At 36.1% G+C, this 25,018-nt stretch overlaps 1 long non-coding RNA gene and 1 pseudogene across 1 annotated transcript in view; one reads left to right on the forward strand and one right to left on the reverse strand.

Moving 5' to 3' along the window:
- Window positions 12,728–13,481, forward strand: PPIAP74 (peptidylprolyl isomerase A pseudogene 74; annotated as a pseudogene).
- The window catches only part of LOC105374196 (uncharacterized), a 37,858-nt gene continuing 28,681 nt past the window's right edge, over window positions 15,842–25,018 (reverse strand). Inside the window, exon 3 of the long non-coding RNA XR_001741011.2 lies at window positions 15,842–16,288. This is a non-coding gene — a long non-coding RNA (uncharacterized LOC105374196). The remainder of the gene's footprint in view (window positions 16,289–25,018) is intronic.

Genomic DNA, 25,018 nt, shown 5'->3' on the forward strand with positions numbered 1-25,018 from the left:
AAGATTTACTAATTGGTAATGTTACAGGATTTAAACACAGATCTCAAACCACAAACAGAAAGGGAATAGGTATAGTGTGTTAAGGAGCTCAAATAATTTAGATACGTGTCTCACCAATTTCAAACATAAACTACCCATCTCCCCATCAAGAAAAGTTGTGCACTGTAAATCATATGAAGTTTCTAGTGTATTCCCTTATATAATCTATAATAGAATACTTACAATACACCAGGCATGGTTCCAATACATTTATATCTATGAATTTACTTAGTCATCACTACAATCCTATGATATAGCTATTAATGTTTTATATATGAAGAAACTGAATCATGATCACAGAGAAATTAGGTAGCTTGCATAAAGTCCCCACAGCTAGTAATAGTAGAACCAGTATTCAAACCCAGGTTTAGGAACAAAGCCTTTCATAACGACCCTTTACTACTTTTCTATACAGAAAATGTGGTAAACATATACCAACAAAATAGCCCCAAATTGCTTTTTGTATTCCTTTTTTCCTGTACTAGTTTTCCCTTACTTCAGTATTTCATAGTGCAGCTGATGAAATTATCATTCTAAAACACAGATCTAAACACAAGACTTAATTGTGTAAAAGTAATTTAATGGCTTTTATAACTAACTCCTTAATATGTAAACAGTTCCTTTCACAATCTGACCCAGTATACCTGTCTTGCTACATCCCTTTGAGAGGTGGTGCTATTCACTATCCCAGAAGCAAATTAATGAAGTAAATGATTACAAGCCCAGTAAATTGAAAACCTATTTGTTCCAATGATGGGCTGAGAACTTGCAGATCTGAAGATATTCCAGCTCTAAAACTTCACTTGATTTTGTTACGAGGAAAGACACACAGCCTTTCTGTTTTCTCCACCAGGGCAAAGATTTGCTGTTTCTATCTAGTGCAATTTAGACTCCTAATGATTTTCAAATACATTTAGATTAACTCTCAAAATTAACCAGACCCAATCACCCAGTTGCTTATAAGTTTTTGTGTTGTAAATTTCCAAAAAGGCAGTGTGTGTGTGTGTGTGTGTGTGTGTGTGTGAGTGCGTGCGCACGTGTGTGTGTGTGTGTGCGTGCGCACGTGTGTGTGTGTGTACCTGCGTATTTGTGTTTGAAACAGTGAATCCAATAACTGGAATGCTTACCGCATTCTCAGCACACTGCTAAGGCTTCACTTACTGTATTCCTTCACAGCAACCCAATAAAGTATCATTATTCTCATTTTGTGAATAAAAAAAAGTAAAGCTCTGACTTTCTGAGATAATACAGAGAAGACAAAAATGTTACATGCCAAAGACTTAAAAATGTTCACAGTCTTTAAATTATACACAGATTCCTTAGTGATGACTAAAAGTGTCAAATGATGTTGTTAGCAACTAATAGTTTCCCAGAGACTTCCCGTCATCTCAAACAAACATCCTTATCACAAAATTTGGTAATGTAATATTAAAGCAGCAAGACAATACTCAAACAAAAGGCATCTAAAGATGCTGAGGTAAACATCTGTATTTTAAGCAAGCTTGAGATTTCCAAATAATAATTGACAGAGAAAGTAATTTTTCTGTTTAATAATTTAATTTAGAGTGCATTTCTGTTTTTAGGTTTTTCTATTTTGTCAAACAGTTCTGTACTCTTTTAACGACTTCCATGAAAACTATTTCTGTGCACACAATAGGCAGAGGGTTTTTCAAAATGTGCAAAGTAAAGCGCCCCTCTACCTGTTATTTAAGCCAGTATGTTCTAAAGCACCTCTCATTCTCTTTGATGCTACACTGCAGTGTATCTCATAGAACACCTTTTTTAAAAACCTTCAATTCCTTTGGTCAGAGATTAGAGCATTTGATGTCATATATAAACAATAAAATCCTTTTTATCTCAGTGGTATTTCATTATACTTTGTGACTTAGAAACAAAACGGGCTTGAAGTCAAGCCAAGACACATCTTTAAGATTGCTATGATAATGCTAATATGCCCTTTAAAATTGAGGCCAGCTGGGAAATCGAAAGGGTGACAAGTGGAACCAACTTGCATCAAACTGGCATGACACCAGACATTGGCATGGCCTACATGACAGCTGCAGCATCTGGGGAGAGCTTGATAAGAAAATCCTGTTATAATGCAGAGCTGGTTTCCCTTAAATTACATCTTATACAGTTTCATAGGTGCCATATTTTATTTTAGAACAAAATGCATTCCTTTTTGAAACAGAAATACTCTTGTCCTTAAGCAAATGTGAAGGAAGTGGTATTTGGCTGTCCTTTGGCAAAGGGAAAAACCCATGTATATTTAATTAGACCCTTTACCTGAGGGATTTTTGTTATGAGAACAGAGTGTGAGACTATAACTTTGAGTAGCAATGTAAATGCTATCAGGGCATTCAAAGCAAAGAGTTCAACAAAAGAGCTGCTGTCTGTGTCAGTTGTAACAACACACTGAGAGGTCCTGGGTGGCAAATGGATGAAGCAGAACCAGATCTCAGTTTCATTCCCAATTGAGTGTCTTCTTTGGACAGAAAATCAAGAGGATAACTACCCAGGTGTTCCAGTTTATTGAGTATGACAAGGAGGCCCTCTGCCATCCTAACTAAATTGCAGGGGGAAATACTCTAAGCAAAGACTGCTCTCCTGTCATCTTATACTACAGCATTAGCCTGTGGATTTGTGATGAAGGAGGTGGTTCCTGTTTAGCCTTTTCTCCAGGGGACATAAAGGACAAATTGTCTGTTCTCCATTATTCATTCATTCAATACATTCTTATCAAACAAACACTTTATGACAGTCATTGTGTTTCTGTGATTTGTGCTTCTAAGATACAAAAATAATATGATATAGACTCTTCCTAAGCTCACAGACTAATAAAGACACCTGTATAAACAAACAATTGAAAAATGGCATGATGAGAGTGTCAATAAGAAATGTACAAAGAATTATTACCATCACAGCCCCTCTTGGCTTTTCTGCCATGTGGAAAAATGCACACTCTAATTTTTGAAGATTTCAAATCTATTTCCAAATTTCAGAGTGACTCTTCCTTAAAAGCATGCAAGCAACTATGGTCTGTGACTCTTTTTAATTTTGACGGATCCTCTAGAAACATTAAGATTTGATCTATCACTTCTATAAAACAGTCCAAACTCAGAAATTAGGAGCCGTGCAACCTAAAAAAGGAAATAAAAAACAGCCTGGAAAACTTCTACTCAGTGACATGACATGACATATTTTATAAATTTTTTAAATTACAAATTAAGTCATAAAAGAGAAGTCATACTGTTGGGAACACATCAATTTACTATGTTAGCTTTCTTAAATATTTTCTGAAATAAGGTGGAGCATACAAAAAAAATCAATGGTTACAGGGTTAAGGTATGATCATTGCACTCGTGGAGAAATGATAAATAAGGAAAAGAATGTAATAGGAAAAAAAGGTTAAAAATGAATTCTTAGATATGGTGTATGATATTGGCAACAAATTAGCAGCCTGTAGCAGCAGTTTACTCCAAAACCAGAATTGATACTAATTTCTGAACAAATAATAAAATTTAACAATGACAATATCATAGGCATATTATCATTCAAAGAACTATAAGTGTACAAAGCTGGTGTCATGTTGGTCATTTAGTATAATGTCCCAGTGAGGATCCCAAAAATTATAGCCTCAGAGGTGAGTGTCACCTTCTCCTCTTGGCTCTGCTTCTTCCCCTCTACTGTCTTGGCAAAGATGCAAAATTTCAAACAAGGTTCCCTATATGCACTACATCCTCCATTTTTAAAAAGTTTAATGATGCTTACGCGACTAACTAGTTGATCCAAAAATACAGTACAGCAATTAGAAGCAACTCAGAAGGAAAAACTGCTGTCCATCTGCTGGCCTCCACCACCATCTGAAAGGAAGCCCCTCTGCATTGTAGCTATTATACTCACAAAGGATAAAAGAGCATTTTCTAGACCCTTTGCTAAAAAGCCTGATATTTAAACCTATTTCACAGATGACTAACTAGGTATACTCCCCTATAAAGTATTCATCATCTACTGCAGAAATTTATTCATTTTAGTATGTCATAAAGGTATTGCAATTAGACATTTTTCTTTTACTAACACTTCCTGTTTTTATACTGTGGACTTGAAAAAAAAAAAGAAACAGCCTTATAGAAAGAGAAATAGAGAGGCTTCTTGCCATCCCAATTTTTATAAATTCCTGACTATAAAATTCTGCTTCCAACTTTAATTAAGGCATCTTCTAGTTTTCATATTTTGTCAGCCAGCTTGGACATCCCAGCTCTCTGCCACCAGGGGGTTATAATGCCTCCCAGGGCTTGCATTAAATTGGATGCTGAGAAAATGAGATTCTTGGCACCCGAAGTTTTTCTCTGCTCTCACCATTCTCATTTTTTCTTTGTTATTTTTATTTTTATTATAGAATCGTCTTGTTACACCACCAATGGGACTTTTACATTGGAGCAGCAAAGGAAGTACCTATAAGATAATGCACACTGGCCAAGCATGATAAAAGCATCAGCTGAGTTAGGGATATTATCCTGATCCCTCACTGTGACTTAGTCTCATTCATTCTTTTGTCCTGAGCCAATTACACCCTGCCTGAGCTTATGACCCACTTGCTCTCTTGACCAAGCTCAATGCATATTGCATGACTCCAACCAATTTTAGCTGGTTGTGTCCCCAGGCAGAATCACATATTATTTGTTCCTTTGGATGAATGGCCATTCAGCAATCATTACCCAGTGCTTTAGTAGTGCCCGAGGACAGGAATTACATCCAGAAATAAGTATGGACATCCCACACACTGCCAGCTGTTTATTCACTACATGATTACAACACTGCATGCTCCAATCTACCATGCCAATTCTAAAACAGTTTAGTCATTTTAATAAGAAAAAAAAAACACACTGGTTTAATGATTGTTAGCTAGCTAGCTAGAGATTATAGATTTTACATATATTTAAGTCCCAGTGTGGCATTATTTGTTGCCTAATCAACAGCCATTCCCAATTATTCTCTCTAAAGGACCGAAATTCTTTTCTGTGATCAAGTAACTATGACCTTATGAGAGTTCAAGGTTTCCCAAGACCCTGGACAGGAATGTGATTGGTTCATGTCAGTCATGGTGACATTTGCCTTGATTATGGGTATTTGAGTCATGGGCACCATATTAGTCCAATCTCACACTGCTATGAAGAGATACCCGAGACTGGGTAATTTATAAAGAAAGAGGTTTAATTGACTCACAGTTCACCATGGCTGGCAAGGCTTCAGGAAAATTACAATCATGGTGGAAGAGGAAACAAACACATCCTTCTTCATATGGCAGCAGGAAAGAGAAGTTCAAGCAGGGGAAATGCCAGATGCTTATAAAATGATCAGATCTCATGAGAACTCACTCACTATCCTGAGAACAGTGTGGGGGAACCACCACCATGATTCAGTTATCTCTACCTGGTTCTGCCCTTGACATGTGAGGATTATTACAATTCAAGATGAGATTTGGTTGGGGACACAGCCAAACAATATCATTTCACCCCTGGCTCCTCTCAAACCTCATATCATCATATTTCAAAATACAATCATGCCTTTCTGAGTGTCTCACAAAGTCTTAGCTCATTCCAGAATTAATCCAAAAGTCCAAGGTCAAAGTCTCACCTGAGACCAGGCAAGTTCCTTCTGCCTATTAGCCTGTAAAATCAAATCAAGTTAGTTACTTCCTTCATACAATGGGGATACAAGCATTGGGTTGATACACCCATTCCAAATAGGAGAAATTGGCCAAAACAAAGGGGCTACAGGCCCCATGCAAGTCCAAAATCCAATAGGGCAGTAATTAAACCTTAAAGTTCCAAAATGATCTCCTTTGACTCCATGTCTCACATCCAGGGCATGCTCATGTAAATGGTGGGCTCTCACAGCCTTAGGCAGCTCTGCCCCTGTGGCTTTGCAGAGTACAGGCCCCAGACCCAGCTGCTTTCATGGCTGGCATTGAATGTCTGCAGGTTTTTCAGGTGCACGGTGCAAGCTGTCAGTGGATCTACTACCATTCTGGGTCCTGGATGATGGTGGCCCTCTTATTACAGATCCACTAGGCAGTGCCACAGTGGGAACTCTGTGTGGGGGCTCCAACCCCACATTTCCCTTCCACACTGCCCTAGCAGAGGTTCTCCATGAGGGCTCCACCCCTGCAGTAGACTTCTGACTAGACATCAAGGCATTTTCATACATCCTCTGAAATCTAGGCAAAGGTTCCCAAACCTCAATTCTTGACTTCTGCATACCCACAGAACCAACACCGTATGGAAGCTGCCAATGCTTGAGGCTTGCACCCTCTGAAGTGATGTCCTAAGCTGTACCTTGGCCCCTTTTAGCCATGGCTGGAGCAGCTGGGACACAGGGCACCAAGTCCCTAGACTGCACACAGCAGGGGAATCCTGGTCCCACCCCACGAAACCATGTTTCCCTCCTAGGCTTCCAGGCCAGAGATGGGAGGGACTGCCATGAAGACCTCTGACAAGCCCTCAAGACATTTTCCCCATGGTCTTGGTGGTTAACATTCAGCTCCATATTACTTATACAAATTTCTGCAGCTGGTTTGAATTTCTTTCAGAAAATGAGATTTTCATTTCTATCATATCATCAGCCTGCAAATTTTCCAAACTTTAATGCTCCAATTCCTCTTGAATGCTTTGCTGCTTAGAAATTTCTTCCTTCAGATGCCCCAAATCATCTTTCCCAAGTTCAAAATTCCACCTATCTCTAGGGCAGGGGCAAAATGCCACCAGTCTCTTCGCATAGCAAGAGTGACATTTACTCCAATTTCCAACAAGTTCCTCATCTCCATCTGAGACCACCTCAGCCTGGTCTTCATTGTCCTTATCACTATCAGCATTTTGGTCAAAGCCATTCAACAAGTCTCTAGGAAGTTCCAACATTCCCATATTTTCCTGTCTTCTTCTGAGCCCTCCAAACTGTTCCAACCTCTGCCTGTTTCCAAGTTCCAAAGTTGCTTCCACATTTTCAGGTATCCTCATAGCAGTCCCCCACTACCTTGGTACCAATTTACTGTATTAATTCATTCTCATGCCGCTATAAAGACATTCCCAACACTGGGAAATTTATAAAGGAAAGAGGTTTAATTGACTCACAGTTCTGCAGGGTTTTGGAGGCCTCAGGAAACTTACAATCATGGAAGAAGGGGAAGCTAGCACATCCTTCCTCATATGGCAGCAGGAAGGAAAAGCACAAGCAAGGGAAATGCCAAATGCTTATAAAACCATCAGCTCTCATGAGTACTCACTCACTATCACAAAAACTTCATGGGGGAACTGCCACCATAATTCCATAGTCTCCACCTGGTCCCACCCTGGACACATGGGGATTATTACAATTCAAGATGAGACTTGGATGGGAACACTGTCAAACCATATCAAGGACATAACACAATTCTGGTTAATTGAAGCTGAGGGCTCTGCTGTGGGGTTTTTGAGAAAGAGTTCCTGGTTGAGAAGATGAGCTGTATAGAAAGAAAAGTTTCTCTTCTAAATATATGTCATCTAGTCTTCATGGGATGCCTGGAAGCACTTTACCTATCACGTAATCATAAGGAGAAGCTTACTGACACACTGATAAGGGAGAGTGGAAAATATGGATAGTGCCAGCACTAGGATCCCTGATGAGGTCCTTGAACTGCTGAGTTAACCAACCATGGATTCTGCTGACCTCTGATTTTCTTATCACATAAGACGATAAATGGCCTATTTTGAGTCACTTTTAGTGGGATTTTCCATTACTTGCAGCTAGAAGCATCCTAACAGGCATAGCCTGCATTTCTAATTTATACTACATTTTTTCTTTGATATAGAGTCTATTCCCCTCCAAATCTCATGTGAAAAATGGATCCCAAATGTTGGAGGTGGGGTCAGCCGAGTGGGAGGTATTTGAGTCATGAGAGTGGATCCCTTATGAATTGCTCAGTGCCATCCTCACAGTAATGCATGGGTTCTCAGGCTATTAGTTACTGTAGGATCTGATTTGCTAAAGAGAGCCTAACACCTCTTCCTCCTCTCTTTCTTCCTCTCTGTCACACATGTGGCATGCTTGCTTCCCTTCGCTTTCACCATGAGTGAAATCTTCCTGAGGCCCCGCAGAAGCAGATGATGGTACCATGCTTCTTGTCCAGCTTGTGGAACCGTGGGCCAAATAAACCTTTTTGCTTTACTCAGCATCAGGTATTCCTTTGTAGCAATGCAAAACAGACTAATACATTTTCCTATTTTCAAAATCCAATCATTCTCACGGTAATGAGAGTAAATTTGATCAATTGCCTACTCCTCTAAATTTTATTAAAGAAACACTATGTTTATATCTCCTCTCATGACAGCTAGAATTTTAAAAAAATCTTATTCATGATAGTATTTTATGAAATCAGAGTATGAAAAATAGAATAAATCACTAGGGAAAATGCAATAACTGTGTCAGAAAAAATTATCAAATAAGCCATTTAAACAAGAAAATCTGAAAAAATTGCTAAAGAAGAAAATCCTAGAGGGGTCAGAGAAGTCATAATTACAAAGAACAGCAAGGTGAGAATATCATAATAGCTGGAACATAAAAGGTGCTCTAATACTGAAATGGGGAACTGAGAAGGATTAACTACATACTTTATTGGTCCTCACGTAAAGTGAAAAGCTTGGACCTCTTGTTCAAAAACTTAAGAGTTTTAAGACAGAGACAGCAGAGCACTAAACCAATGTGGTTTTAAAAGTACCCTCAGAAAGCGTGAGCCCTGAGCAACTGCATGGGTTGCATACCCATGAAGCCAGCCTGACATCCAAGAATTATGATTTTTCCAGTCCACATATAAAGATTGGAATGGAGTGGACATGGTAATGAGGCTATTGATACAAAGTGAGGCTGGGCCCCAATAGGACTTCCCTGGACAGAGTTTAATTTCAGTCCAGAGCAAAACCTAAAGAGACTGTGGGAAGAAACCATTCTAGAGTTAACCCTACAATACACATCTTCATATTTCAGATGAAAATAATAATACGGAATGTTATTTAAATAACAGGGAAATGCTTAATGCATAATTTTTTGTTTTATTTTATTATTTTTTTTTTTGGAGACTGAGTCTTACTCCAGGCTGGAGTGCAGTGGTGCAATCTTGGCTCACTGCAACCTCCCTCTCCCTGTTCAAGCGATTCACCTGCCTCAACCTTCCAAGTAACTGGGACTACAGGCACATGCTACCATGTCCGGCTAAATTTTGTATCTTTAGTAGAGATGGAGTTTCATCATATTGACCAGGCTGGTCTCGGACTCTTGAACTCAAGTGATCCGTCCACCTCAGCCTGCCAAAGTTCTGGGTGTGAGCCACTGTGCCCAACCTTAATGTATAATGTTAATAAAGATAGTTGTACATAAAATTATGTGCATATAGATGTACATGTGGGGTATATATACAGACTTAAAGGAAGTACTTCAAAACATATCATGTATATTACTAGATGCTATAGTAAAGTACCAAAAACTGAGAGGCTTAAATAATAGAAATTTATTGTCTCACACTTCTGGAAGCCAGAAGTCCAAAATCAATGTACTGGGAAAGTTGGTTTCTTCTGATGGCTGTGAGAGAAGGATCTGTTTCTGGCATCTCTCTTTAGCTTGCAGAAACCTGTCTTCATGTTCACATGGCATTTTCCCTTTATGCATGCCTCTTTCTAATTATCTTTTTAAAAATAAGGACACCAGTTGTGATATTAGGGCCAATCCACTGACCTCATCTAACCTTGATTATCTCTGTAAAGACTCTATCTCCAAATAAGGTCATATTCTAAGGTACTGGGGGTTAGGAATTTAACGTATAAATTCTGGTGTGGGAGAGGAAATATTTAGCCCATATAATAGGTTAACTCTATGGTGGAATATCATATTTTCTTTATATATTTTCATAGTTTCTAAAGCTCAGTTTTATAATCAGAAAAAATAGGAAAACATGAGTTTAATAATACTCTATAGGCTGAAGAAAACGACAACAATGAGATACTGGACTGATAGAAGAGTCTTGGGAAAATAACATTTGAGGCATAAGAGATGTCTATATCATGCAGGAAAAATCATACTTGCTCAGCCTACGTAAGTAGAACCTCAGAGTAAAGGATTTTTACTGAAATAATGTCACACCCTTAAAAATAATGATCCCAACTCTCAACCTTTACCATTTCCCACACAACTTCCCTTCCTATAATATTGATTTAGGATTCCAGCTCTACATACAAAACTACACCAAACACTCATCCATTCCAGTTTCAGCAACCCAAACTAAGTGCATCCAACAAATTCTAAGGGACAGCCTCAAACTCTGTTTAGACTAAAACTGACAGGACCCACATCCATTCAGAATTATATCTTATTCTTTACTATGTTTTACTAGTCTGATAAGCCTATATTTTCACAGCACTTTTTCACTTTGGAGCTGTAGATTCATAATAACTACTCTGCAGGATTGTTGCAAAAACAATATCAATTATCATTATTTCCATGTTTTATTCATCCTGTCAAATTCATTTTTATTCAGAACCTACAATGTGAACAAGACAATACAGGACATATTTGTTTATGAGGTTTTGAGTGAGGCAACCTGTGACGATAGTCAAGGCAGTGGCTCAAATGTTAGCGAAACTAAGTAAGTTTTACTCTATTCCATTTATACAAACTCAATACCTCAATCCCCTTTTGACCATGTGGAATCTTAAGGAAACCAACAACATGACCCAAGAACATAAGATGCTCTGTCAGCTCACTTTATAAGCTCTAGGAAGAATTAAGCACACACACGTAAAGATACCAGATATATGAAGTTTCAACCAATATCAAGATCACTAAAAAGCATTTTGGATACATTTCAAAGGAAGTAACAAGAATATGTTACCCATCAAAATCAAAACACTTAGCCATCACTAAAATTTCATAAGACAAATTGGAGCTGCCAAAATCTAGAAATTTCATTCACTTCATGGATGAATATAGTGTTTGCATTCCTGCTTCACTTAACAAAAACAAAAATATAGATGGAAATTATAAACACAAAGTTAGACTCTTCTAAGAGCTTAATTGCTCAACATTATGATTTTCTAGATATTATCATATATTTTAACTGACATTAACAACAGTTTACTTCAAATTGTAATTCATAATACAAAGCAGCAATTATAGTTTTAGGTATCATGTATTAAATCATATCTTGACAAATGGCAGACTTGTTTATTTGTTTGCCATTATGAAAGATTATGTTTGCTTATTATTTTTTTTACAAATATGAGAATAGGAGATACAATGTATATTCTTCATAGCAATGTGGTAATAAAGAGGTTGAGGTGTCTCCTATATAGATCTTCAATATTTATAAATTCAAAAAATGCTATTGTCTTCAGTCTGAAGTTGGCTGACATATTCATTTTGAATCAATATAATTTACTTTTCAATGAGGTTTAAGTGGCTACCATGTATAAAGCACTGTTAAATATTCTGCATGACTTAAAAATACACAGTCAGTCTCCATTCTTCAATAAAATCATAATCTAAGACCATGAATAAGATACAGGGAATTTACGTGACCAGATAATATAATTGGTATGCCATTGTTGCGAATAAATAAGAAGATTTAAATGATGGCGAGCACTTCTCCATACAGTGCGATTGAGAAAACCTTCACACAGTCCTAGGTGACACTGATTTTCAATTCCTAACAAATGGAATATTTTTAGCCAATTCACAGGGGGAGCAAAGTACAAAAGTGTTTGAGAAAACACCAGAATTATACTTGAACTAGAAGGAAAGGAGGCTAAAAATTAGGAAAACCAAAATCACGGGATAGGAAAATGAGAGAGAAAGTAAAAGGCCAAGGAATGGTCAAAGCAAAAGTAGACAAACACACACACAAAAAATGTGTCTACCCTGAGCAATCTTTGTTCTAATATTTGGTATATTTGTGTCTTGGTTTTCAAGTGAAACTGGGGCTGGTCGGAAGAAATACTGTTGACAATTACTTATGCCTAATGTTTTTTGAAAAACAAGGAATCCACATGTAGATACACAAAACTTCTCCACAGGTATCTTCCTCAGAGGACACAGATTTCTGAAATTTAAAAAACTGTGATTGCTTTATTCTCTAATAAAAACATTCCATAACAAAACAACATTTTATTGGTCATCTTGGTGAAAATGAGTATACTAGTCATTTGTTTTTAGAAATGGGATTTTGATCTGTATGATAAACAAGAGATAATAATTGAAATAGCATAAGTTAAAACATCTGCTCACTTTTATTAGCTCTGATTTTAGAGGGAAAATCTTACATCTAATCTTCTAGACTTAAAATAAGATTTTCAGAATTTTAATTATGTCCTCTCTCTCTCTCTCACATACACACACACACACACACACACACACACACACACACACACAGAGAGAGAGAGAGAGACAGAGAGAGAGAGAAAGTACTTCTGTTGCCATTAATTTGTTTTAGAGATGAACGGGGCTTAAGAAATTTAACACAAATAAAGTAAGCAGTTAAGTTACAATGAAGGATACAAAATGTTCACACTTCTTTACTGTACTACATTTAAATCAATGTGACAAAGTCATTTTGTCTTTATGCAAACAATCAACTTGGTATTTTCGTATAGTAACAGAAAAAATGGGCTTTGCAGACGCCGCTGCCACCGGGAGCCCTCTACTATCAGCCATGGTCAACCCCACCGTGTTCCTCGACATCGCTGTCCACGGTGAGCCCTTGGGTGGTATCCCCTTCGAGCTGTTTGCAGACAAGATCCCAAAGACACCAGAAAACTTTCATGCTCTAAGCACTGGAGAAAAAGGATTTGGTTATAAGGGTTCCTGCTTTCACAGAATTATTCCCGGGGTTATGTGTCAGCGTGGTGACTTCACAAGTCATAATGGCACTGGTGGCAAGTCCATCCAAGGGGAGAAATTTGATGACAAGAACTTCATCCTAAAGCACGCAGGTCCTGGCATCTTGTCCATGGCAAATACTGGACCCAACACAAACAGTTTCCAGTGTTTCATCTGCACTGCCAAGGCTGAGTGGTTGGATGGCAAGCATGTGGTCTTTGGCAAGGTGAAAGAAGGCATAAATATTGTCGAGGCCATGGAGCGCTTTGGGTCCAGGAATGGCAAGACCAGCAAGAAGATCACCATTTCTGACTGTGGAAAACTCTAATACGTTTGACTTGTGTTTGATATTTTATCTTAACCACCAGACTATTCCTTCTGTAGCTCAGGAGAGCACCTCTCCACCCCATTTGCTCGCAGTATCCTGGAATCTTTGTGCTCTCGCTGCAGTTCCCTTTGGGTGCCATGTTTTCCTTGTTCCCTTCCATGTCTAGCTGGATTGCAAAGTTAAGTTTATGACTATGAAATAAAAACTAAATAACAATAAAAAAGAATGGTAGAAATGATTGGTAATTGACTAGGGACTTTAGAAAAATGTTTAAACTCTGTAACATTTCGTTCTTTATCTTGCATTCTTATTAGATATCACTTCTACCAGATATCATTAACAGAATTAAGGATAAAAATCATATGACCTTATATTCCTAATACTCTTTATACCAAATTAGTTACTTAGAAAGAGCTCTATGACCTTGGGAAGTTATGTAAGTTTTCTGAGCCTTGGTTTTCCTATTTGCAAAGAAAAAGCAATACTATTTAAATGAGCCATTCCATGTATCATTGCATGATTCTGAATTTCCATATTTTATCTTCCTTCTATGAAAAATGACAATCTCAGTTGCTCCTTTTAGTATCAGATTGTGCCATTTTATACATTATGATAATTAAAGTAATGATCAGGGACTAGATTTTCAAGTGCACATTTTGGTTTGAATACATTTCTCAGTCCTCCCCTTCTGGCTTGGTAGGATGCACCAGCCCACTCATGCCAGCCACTGAGGTTAGGATGCATTCTGCCTGTGAAGATCCCAGATTTTCACATCACATTGGCTTTATCAGCTTCCACAGCTGCTGGAGAGTGCAAGGTCCTAAGAGGCTCTAAGAGACACTTAGACACCTGTCAAACCAGGTGCACTGGGGCAGCAACTGCCCACTAAACATCCAGGCTGGCATGCAGCCAACTCCTTCTCTACCCTAATAATTTTTTTTAAAGGCCAATGTGATCACATTTAAATAACACAACGCTTTCCCAGAGAGAAATTTTTACAGGCACTGAAAAGAGAGAAAAGTGTGCTTTTTAAAAAATCTGAAGCAAAGTTAGGACAGAATCCAGAAATGAAGCTTACTCAGCCAGTTCTGAAATGTAACCTGCTTGTTAATCATTAATGAGATGTTAAATTTATGAAATCTTGAAGTGAAACACAAGACTAAGATTTTGGCATCAGGTTTCATTTGAATCAACTTTCTGGAGAAAAAAAACAGCTCAGTAAGTTGAACTGCAGGCTGCGGGGGCTACCCCAGGGCATCAGCGTTGTGCTGTAAAATCACACTATATCATCAGCACACATGTGCACAAGGGAGAAAACACATTAGACTGTAAGATAATCGTCAAGCAGAGAAAATAAAATATGCCCTCAGGCGTCCCATTTGTAATTCCCTTGAATCCATGTTCACAAGGCTTTCTTTTCTATACAATTTGACAAGTTAATGCAAACCACTTTATGTAGTCACTACAACGCCCCAAATCCCTGAAGTTTTGTAGGGATAATTTATGGTCAGCTAAAGCAAATGCCTTAGAGAAGTCAATAGAAATTGCTTCTATCACACAGTCTTCATCTATTGCATTGGAGATAGTGTGGATACCAGATCCTGGGTGATTGGTTTGCTGTGAAGCCTGACAAGAAAGGAGTCAGCAAGTCCTTTGGCTGTAGATAGTTTGAAATGTGTACGTGTACATTTTTTTTAACAGGTAGAGCCAAAATAGCTTTCTGCTGAATCAAACCTCTTAATTTCCTTTTTGTGGAGGTGAACTATACTGACAATGTCTTCAGACTTGAATGAAGGGAAGACCTCAGAACGGAGATATTTTCTTTGCTATTACCAGAATTGGCAAGTGAAGAAATGCAGGCTCTTCACAGATACTGTATCACAATTTAGTATTCACCAGGAAATAATTCCAAATTTTCCAATGCATAAATGAATCTCTCTCAGTAAAAATCCACATTAATCCCTCTGAGTGCATTTATTTGTTTGAAGGCAAAGCCCTCACCACCATCACCAAAAGACATTGGTATAAATGATAATGACATTAAGAATCTGGTGTTTGTCAGTCTTACTGTTTTAAATCTTTACAGTTGAAATGGTTATAGTTAAGTATTTTAAAATAATTTTCACATATATGTATGTGTGAATAAGGTATATATATATATATATATATATTAGGAATTATCTCCATTCTCAGAAAAAAATCCAGATGTTTCCAGAGATTAATTTCCTAGTTTTTTATATATGTATATATTTCATATATATATTTTAACTATATATTATTAAAGAGCAGGCAGATTACAAAATATTTCTCAAAGAACAATATAACATTTTTAAATTTTATTTTTTATTTGTTCATTTTAATCTGAGTGTTTCTCTCTTTGACTCTGTAGTACCTCTGGTCTACCAGCACAGGAGAATTGAAAGTAGGGTGGCCTACCATTCAAGAAAGAGTACTGGCTAGGTTCTCTAACTTATCCAAAACATATAACAATCTTGTCCTCTACACATCTATCATGTATAGATTCTATCATGTGTATTGGCTCTCAAATAAGGGGAAATATTTTTGTAATAGTCAATGTTTGGTCATGAAAATAGAAGCTATTTTATTATTCCAAGTATGAAGGATTTCAATAGAAGAAACTAAAAGTTTTTCAAAACCATTGTATGGATCGGAGAGTAAAGAAAGGGAAGCTCTCACCAATATTTCCAGCCTATGGCACTAAAGTAGATGGTTCTTAAAAATTCCTCCAGAAGTCACTGAAATCTCAAGAACTGCTGAGTGGCTTCCACTGACTATTTGAATCTGCAATACCAAGGAGAACAATTCTCCAGAAGTCACCATGAGCTATCTAAGCTATACAAAGCCTAAAGCAGGTGAGATGTAGGATGTTGTCAGCAAGCTGCTGTGAACTTCTTGTCTGTCATCTGCCCACACCCTTGGCTTCAAAGGCTTCTGAAGAATAATCCTCTTTTTTCTTCTACCTTCCAAATCTCAGTTTAGTTCATCTCATTGTCAGACTGTGACCTAAACCATGGGGCAAAGATAGATTGAAGAAATGCATATTCAGACTTTCTTTCTGTAATAGAAGTTAATAGTGATTAATTTTATAATACACTAATCAGATGTGTGTTACAACTGAAAAATATCAGCAATGCAATTTTAAAAACTTTATTAAAACAAATCACATTTGTGTATGATTAATAAAATGTTAGGCAGTCACTTAAGTCATGGCTTTCATCTTTACAAGAAGAAAAAGCCGAACCAACCAAAAATATACTACTTTTCTTGGACTCTTCAGAGAAGTGAGGTCCCTGGGAAAATTACTCCTTCAAAATCTGAAAAGACAGGTGAATCTGAAGAATTACAGCTAGATTTGCTTATCTGGAGCAGAAGCTACGGAAGCCATAAGCCTGTAGGAACACATAAATGTTAATTCTGATGAGTAACTACAGGCAGAGTGAAGACTTGTATGATGGGAGAAACACCTGAGGATGCGGTCTTGAGGGGCCCCACACTTCCATGAGGGCCTCACCATGTTGTCCAGTAAAGAGCTGGGAACGTTCCTTTCATGAACCCGATTGGGGGCAAGGAAGAATAATCACTGTGAAATATACTAAGCAGGCCGGGCATGGTGGTTCACGCCTGTAATCCCAGTACTTTGGGAGACCGAGCAGGTGGATCATTTGAGGTCAGGAGTTCGAGACCAGCCTGACCTATGTGGTGAAACCCCATCTATACTAAAAATAAAAATAAAAATAAATTAGCCAGGCATGGTAGTGGACGCCTGTAGTCCCAGCTACTGGGGAGGCTGAGACAGGAGAATCGCTTGAACCCGGAAGGCAGCAGTTGCAGTGAGCCAAGATCATGCCACTGCACTCCATCCTGAGCGACAGAGCAAGACTCCATCTCAATAAAATAAAATAAAATAAAATTTTATATATATACACATATATATACATATACACACACACACACACACACACACACACACATATATATATATATAGAGAGAGAGAGAGAGAGGACATTCTTCCTAAAGGGCTTTATAATCTAAAAACAAAAAAGACTTTACCAGAGCCTTTTCCCACTTGGCGGAAGGGCATAGTTTTCCCACTATAGTCCCTTCTAGCCTTCCTATTTCACCTAAGGAAGGAAAATAAAAGCTAAGACATGTTTGTGAAAGTTAAGAGTTCAGAGATACCTATCTCCTAAAACACTGAGATCAAATCACAAAATGGTGAAACGTGTCCCCTCCTCCGTGATTTAGCACCACATCAACAGAGGATATATAACAAAGGATTATAGCTGAAAGAGTTGCAAGATCCAAACTCTTAGGAGGAGCAGCTAAGGAATTCCGAAGTCAACAGGAGATACGAAAATAGGACACAAGAGGAATTTGAAACCCCCGGCACCTATAAATGCAGCAAACATTAAGCACAGCCTAAATTCTGATCAGATTAACATAAAGTCTCATGTTAAAAGCCAATTAGGCCAGGCACACTGGCTCACATCTTTAGTCTCCACAACTAAGGAGACTGAGGCTGGGAGAACACTTGAGGCCAAGAGTTCCAGACCAGCCTGCAGCCTGGGCAACATAGTGAAACCCCCTCTCTAAAATAAATAAATAAATAAATAAATAAAAATAAAATTTGCCAGGCATGATGGCATGTGTCTATAGTCAGGTACTTAGGAGACTGAGGCAGGAGGATCAATTGAGTCCAGGGATTTGAGGCTGTAGTGAGCTACAGTTGTGCCACTACACTCCAGCCTGGGATACTAAGTGAGACCCTGTCCCAAAGAAAAAAAAAAGCCAATTTATCTCAATTTCTCTTACTTGATACATTATGCCCGGCCTTCATCAAAAATATTAAAAGACATGCTAAAAGGCAAAAAATAAAATAGTTTGAAAAGACAAAGATAGCATCAGAATCAAACTCAGCAGTAACACAATTTTGGAATTATGAGAGAATTTAAGACAACTATGATTAATATGTAAGACCTCTAATGGAAATGAAAGCAATGTGAAGAAACAGAAGGGTAATGTAAGGCTCATTGTAGACTGGTCATGCCACAAGAAAGAATCAGTGGTATTGAATATAGGTCAATAGAAGCTTCCCAAACTACAAAGAGAAGAAATGAAGGGAGGAAGAGAGAGAAAGAGAGAAAAAGAGATTTCAAGACTAGTAGGACGATTTCAAAGGTATAACATACATGTAGTTGGAATACCAGAAGGAGAAGAGAGAATGGAGAAGAATAAATAGTTAAAGTAATAATGACTGAAAAGTTTCCAAAATTAATAAAAGACACTAAAACATCTTGGTTGCTTCCAGTTTGGGACAATTATTAATAAAACTGCTATACATTTTCACATTCTAGTTTTTGTGTGGATATCAGTTTCTACCATGTTCAGTTTTGTAAGAAATTGCCCAAATGTTTTCCAAAATGGTTGAAGATAATTGAGATATTTATATAACGTATAGTTATTTTGTTTTTATATTGTAAATCATCTGGAATTTTATTTACATATTCAGGGTGCGTACATATGCACAACTTTATTACAGATTTTTAAATATCTGATTGATTCTTACTTTATTGTATCAACAATATTAAATAGTCTTCCTCACCTCCAACTTTCTCATTTTAAAATTTTGGTATGTGTAGACACAGTCCCAGGTGTGACTTATTTTGCCAGTACATTTGTTTTACAGATCAAAATGGAGTTTTAATCAGAATTTCCCCTTTTATATAAATAAGATGAAATGGTTTCTTCTACATTCTAAGTCTACTGTGTTTGCTTTTTCATTTCTTTTGAAATTTATGGAAGTTAACATACTATATTTTCCTTCCTTCAATCACCCTCCAGTTTCATAGATATTTTGGTAAACTCTATAGCGAATTTAATTCTGCAAGATGTCAAGAATTCTTTCAGGATAGCCCCAGTATCCATAATTTCTTCTCGACAATTTACCCCAAATTTTACCACCTTTAACTTTCCCCTCACCACCTCAAGCATCTAGAAGTTTTCTCCATATATTAAAAAAAAAGAAGTGCCATATAGTTTTCTTATAGCAGGAAAGCTATAAGAAATACTATATCCTTCAGAAAAGCAGACAAGTAATTAGCTCATCCAATTTTATTCATAACAAGAAGATAAATAGTACGAACATCAATTTTATTCCTCACTAAAGTTGTAGCTTAGAGAGATATAAATAATAATATGTTGTTTTTATATAGTAGACACCTATAGTATTTCCAGCTAAATATCTTATGAAATGAACAGCAAAACATTATTAGGCTCATAAATAAATGTGCCGGAGAGAATGATAAATGAAACTGGGAAATGTACACCATTTACAATATCAAAGCAATGTGCCAGGTATTCATCGTTAAGACAATGTGGATTATGATAAAGTTGAACAACAAAATGTTTAAATAATCACTCAAAACAACTATAAGAGAGATGACATTTGAAATGTACAGATGAAGATTGCTGTAAGAAAGTTATAGAAGGAAATTATCACTTCAGGCAAAGGTCATCAAGAGGCCGAGAATTTGAATTTGAGCTTATTCTTGTATAACATTGAATTTATACAGAAGCCAAAGTAAACAAGGAAGTAGAAATAAAGAAAAATGATGGCTATATACAAGATTTATTTACAAAAAACAATACAATATGATAGATGTAGAAATGGAGTCAGATGACAAAAATCATATCGAAGTGGTAGAAGTAACTGGTTATAATAGCTTTAAACAAAGTCACCTAAGTAGATAAATGGCTATTAGGAAATTTAAAACAAAAAAAAATACAGAAGCAACCTGAAAAAGATTAAAAGCTTGACAATTATTAATAATTTTAAGAATTCCAAGCAAAATCTTCAATGAATTTTCTTATTTTTTATACAATCCTTGCAGTTTCAGTGGGACTGTGTTGCCCATAAGAAGCGGAGGCTACATCAATTATTCCTTAGCTAATATTCTCTATTGTTTCAGAAATTGATTTCTATAGAATTGCATTAATAATTCTATCAGTTCAGTAAGGAATCAACACTCTAACTCCAGTTTCACCTAGAATAGTATTTCACTTTAATTAAAATACTAGAGCAGCAAGCAGATTTTATAGTTTCACACATCTGGCTATTTCAAAGCTAGATTGTTCTTTGCATATTGCTTTTGGACACTTTGAATAGCATGCTTTTCCAAAGGAAACTTGTTTTCTCAAGTTTCTGTAATTGGTATTTTGAATCACAGGATGTAGAACTCTCAAACCCAATATTGGAAATTCAGCTCTCTAAACCGGTATTGACTTTTGTTGTAATCCTACAGTGTAGAAAGCTTGCTGAAATTACCTCATGAGGACAGTACTTTGAGAATCTGAGCATAACTTTATTTTTCTTCATTTATTGTATTTTTCCAAAGAAATTATGCATTTAATTTAATATCTCAGCACCATTCACACATATTCAACAATTTTCAACAACATGCATGTAGACAAGAAAAGAATAAAAATATATTGACTTTTGGATATGCATTGCTTTTTACTAGTTTAAAGAAGTAAATTATCAGTTCAAATTAATATGTACAATTGCTTAGAACACAATATAGTGTATACCATAAGTCATCACAATGGGCTGTGTCTCATATTATATTAAAAAAAAGTTTACCTTTAAATCACTCTATATTTTAAAATATTACCAATTACATTAAATTGAAAATACACAATGAGATTGATTGTAGGGGATGTTCAACATTAGTAACTAATGTTTGAATAGTGTTTGTTTTTACATACAATTTTCAAAGTATTTCCCACATCAGAAAATTCGCAACAAGTTCTTCAGCTGTTTTGTGTACAGGTGATATCTCCATCTTAAACAATATTACTGAAGAAAGACACTATTTTTATAGTCCTGATTCTCTACTACCATCAAAATTACAGACTTTAAAATACCATAGAGATATATATCTTTTAAATCCAGAGTTGCTCAGACCATTTATTTTGATAGATTATTTTATCTTTTCTTATAAGCAGCAAAGTTCAAATCTACTCGGGTTTATCTGAATAGAATCAAGGCATCTGGACCTCAACGGCCCTGGAAATACCACAAAAAGTAAATTTTACAGCATATACATGAAAAGATAGAACTATTGTCTAGGGGTTTCTTTAAAGTAGAAAACATCATGTTCTTTGTTAGCATCAGATACTACCGTAAGTGTGTCAAATAGTCATTATATGTTTTGTGATTTATCTATATTTTTATTCATGGCCTCAAAATATAACTCCTTAATTTCTAGTGAAGGCAGAAAGGCCTGAATAGGAATATAAGCCAGACAAAAAAGAAAACAACAACAAAAAACACTAATCATTCTCTGCATGCACCTGTATTAAATCTCCTGAATATAGTGAAGCAAATAATCGTAATACATTATAATAAATAAGCAATCCATCACCTGTTTGTTATTATTTATAAAATGCTAAAAATTAAATCACTCTCAGCAGAAACATTAGTGAAATTTTATAAAGGCAAAAACCATTTCAGAACTCTCATGTATTTTTGGTTGGAGTGTAGAATGGCATAATTACATTGCAAGATAGTTTGACAGGTTTTTATAAGGCTAAACAAACACCTGATTGAATAATATATTTAAAATGAGATCACCTTAGTGTATTTAAACTATTTCTCTATAAAGTTATTTTTAAAAGTTCAAATTCAATTTTGCAAATAGATTTTGGTTTCTTTTTATTTTCTTTTTTTTTGTTTTTTTGTTTTTTTGTTTTTTGTTTTTTTCTTTTGAGACAGAGTCTCTCTCTGTCGCCCAGGCTGGAGTGCAGTGGCGCAACCTCGGCTCACTGCAAGCTCCGCCTCCCGGGTTCATGCCACTCTCCTGCCTCAGCTTGCAGAGTAGCTGGGACTATAGCCACCACACCCGGCTAATTTTTTGTATTTTTAGTAGAGACGGGGTTTCACCATTCACAGGATGGTCTCAATCTCCTGACCTTGTGATCCACCTGCCTCAGCTTCCAGAGTAGCTGGGATTATAGGCCCCCGCCACCATGCCCGGCTAATTTTTTGAATTTTTAGTAGAGACAGGGTTTCACCATTCACAGGATGGTCTCGATCTCCTGACCTTGCGATCCACCTGCCTCGGCCTCCCAAAGTGCTGGAATTACAGGCGTGAGCCACCGCGCCCGGCCAGATTTTGGTTTCTAACAACTATTTTCCAATAAATAGTTTAGGAGAGCTGGTTGATTTCAAGTTTGGAATATCTCATAGGACCAGAAAATAAGAAGAGTTCAAAAAGAAAGAAAGAGATAAAGGAGGAAGGGAGGAAGAAAGAAAAAAAAAGAAAGAGGAATAAAAAACAACCTGAAATATTTCATGGTAAAAGTTTGAATTTAAGCAAGAAAATAAATATCATTTCAAATATAACCCAAATAATTTAAGATTGACTCCATGTTGAAATAAATAAACAACTTAATAGACAAATAAGTGGGCTATATGTGGCAGCTCTTTCCTACAGAAGAATTCCAATTTATAAATATAAAAGGAACAGGGGAAATAAAAAATATTTATTAGACTATCACTGTAATAATTGTCATAGGCACTATAAAGTGGTAAATTCTAAAACAACATAACAAAAATGTAAGATATTTGCATAGCCCAAATATAATAGAAACCAGATATTTGCATAGTCCTAAATTCTCTCTTCAAAATATTTACTAATTCCAAAGGGAAAATTTGTGTTTATAGCTAAGAATTCTGGAGGAGACCATCCTAGCCAAAGAATCAAGAATAACATCGTTGGGATAAAGAGATTCCAACATCATATGCCTTCTTATGTGATACACTGAGAAAAGCATCTCACCTCTGTAATATCCTTCCCAATAATGAATAACTTCCATCTAAATGCAGTAAATCATAAAACAAGCACAAATTGAAGAGCATTCTACGTAATAACGGACCAGTACTCTTCAAAAATATCAAGGTCTTGAAAGACAGGGAAAAGCTAAGGAACTGCCAAAGATCACAAAAGACTAATGAGACATGACAACTAAATGCAGGAATCAGACAGAATTGGATCCCGGAACAGAACAGAGATATTAGAAGAACTGATAAAATCTGAATAAATTTTGTACTTCAGTTAATAGTATTGTTCCAAGGCTAATTTCCTAGTTTTGATAAATTTTCTATGGTTATGTTAAGAAGTTGACATAAGGACAAGCTGGGTAAGAACATAAGAAAATTCTCTATATTATTTTTGCAACTCTTCTGAAAGACTAAAATTACCTCCAAGTATTTATTGTTTAAAAGTTTAAAGTATTATCGATGATATTTTATGTTTCCAAAAATATGCAGAGAACTGGATCCCAAGCAGTGTTGGAATTTTTATCTTTGAGTCAAAAATTAATCAAATTAAAATTATAAACTGAATTATTGCTCTATGCTAAGCACAGACCCAATTTCCCATGGAAAGGAAGTAAAACACCCAAATTTAAAGAATATTCTATTAAAGTCCATTCATTCAAAAGTCATCAAACATTTACTATGAAAAAGTACTAGGTGAAAATATATATAGCAAAGCTAGTTTAAAATATTAGCAAGTACAATAGGACTTGCTGTGTCCCATGTATGTCATTAAAAAATGGTCATAAAAATATTTTTTCCTATAATGTTTTCCTGTTGCTTTAAGAAAACTGGTTTTTAAGTTTATATAAAATTATGTTATTAAAATCATTGTTTTACTCTGAACAAATGCTTGGCCATATACATAGTGAATTATTATTATTATTCTCACCAATTTATACTACTTGAAAGAATTTCCACTTGCTAGGAATTAATTTTTAGAAATACCTTGATATTTTATGTAGCTTTAGTTAGAAAACATCAAACTGACAAAAATAATAACAACTGCAGAAGAAAAAAAAGTAGGGCAAAGGTGAGTGCTATTAGCTCTTTTAAAATCAATAACCTTGAAGTGTCACAGAAACTCAACTGCTTCTTTTAAGTGCTTTTTTCTAAGTGTATTTCTTGTATGTAATAGATAATTGGATTTTATTTTTTAACCCAGACTTACAGTCTCTGTCTTTCAATAGAGGATTTCAGACCATTTGTATTTAGTATAACAACTAATCTATTTCCTTCAAGTAAAAGTATTTTATCCTTTTTTGTTATTTCTTCTTTTTAAATGTTTCTTACTTTTATGACTTCTTGAATGCTGAGTTCTTTGCCAGTGAAACATGAATACAACAACAACAACAACAAATAAAATGAAGAACCACGTTGTATCTATACATAGCTATTTTTTAAATTTTGAGCAATAAGAAGGCTTGAATTAAACAGCTTGGAATTTTACCTTTTGATTTGTTCAAAACAAAAGCATCCTCACTGCAGTGTCCCATTATGCTGTTTATCCTATTATCAAACAAAAGAAATAACACCCTAGGTTATGTACCCTGGGAATAAGTTGAATTTGTTCATGTCTTTGAGCAGAGTAAAACAGAAGCAGCTATGTCTCTGTATAATGCCATCTGTGTTAATATCTCTAAAGTTTCTTCAATAACTCTAAAGCAAATTACCAAGGAATATGGTAACTTTTCCATTTTTCTACATTGGACAATAATTTGAATCTACTGGTTTCTCTCAGTCCATCTGTTACTGGTCGAAGGTGGCCAGGTTCTTGGCATCTTGAACAAAGAATTGGACAACACTCACAAAAAAAAAAGCCAGGAGAGTGAAGCAACAAAAGCAGAGATTTAAG

This window comes from Homo sapiens, chromosome 3 (genome assembly GCF_000001405.40).
Source record: "Homo sapiens chromosome 3, GRCh38.p14 Primary Assembly".
NCBI lineage: Eukaryota > Metazoa > Chordata > Mammalia > Primates > Hominidae > Homo > Homo sapiens.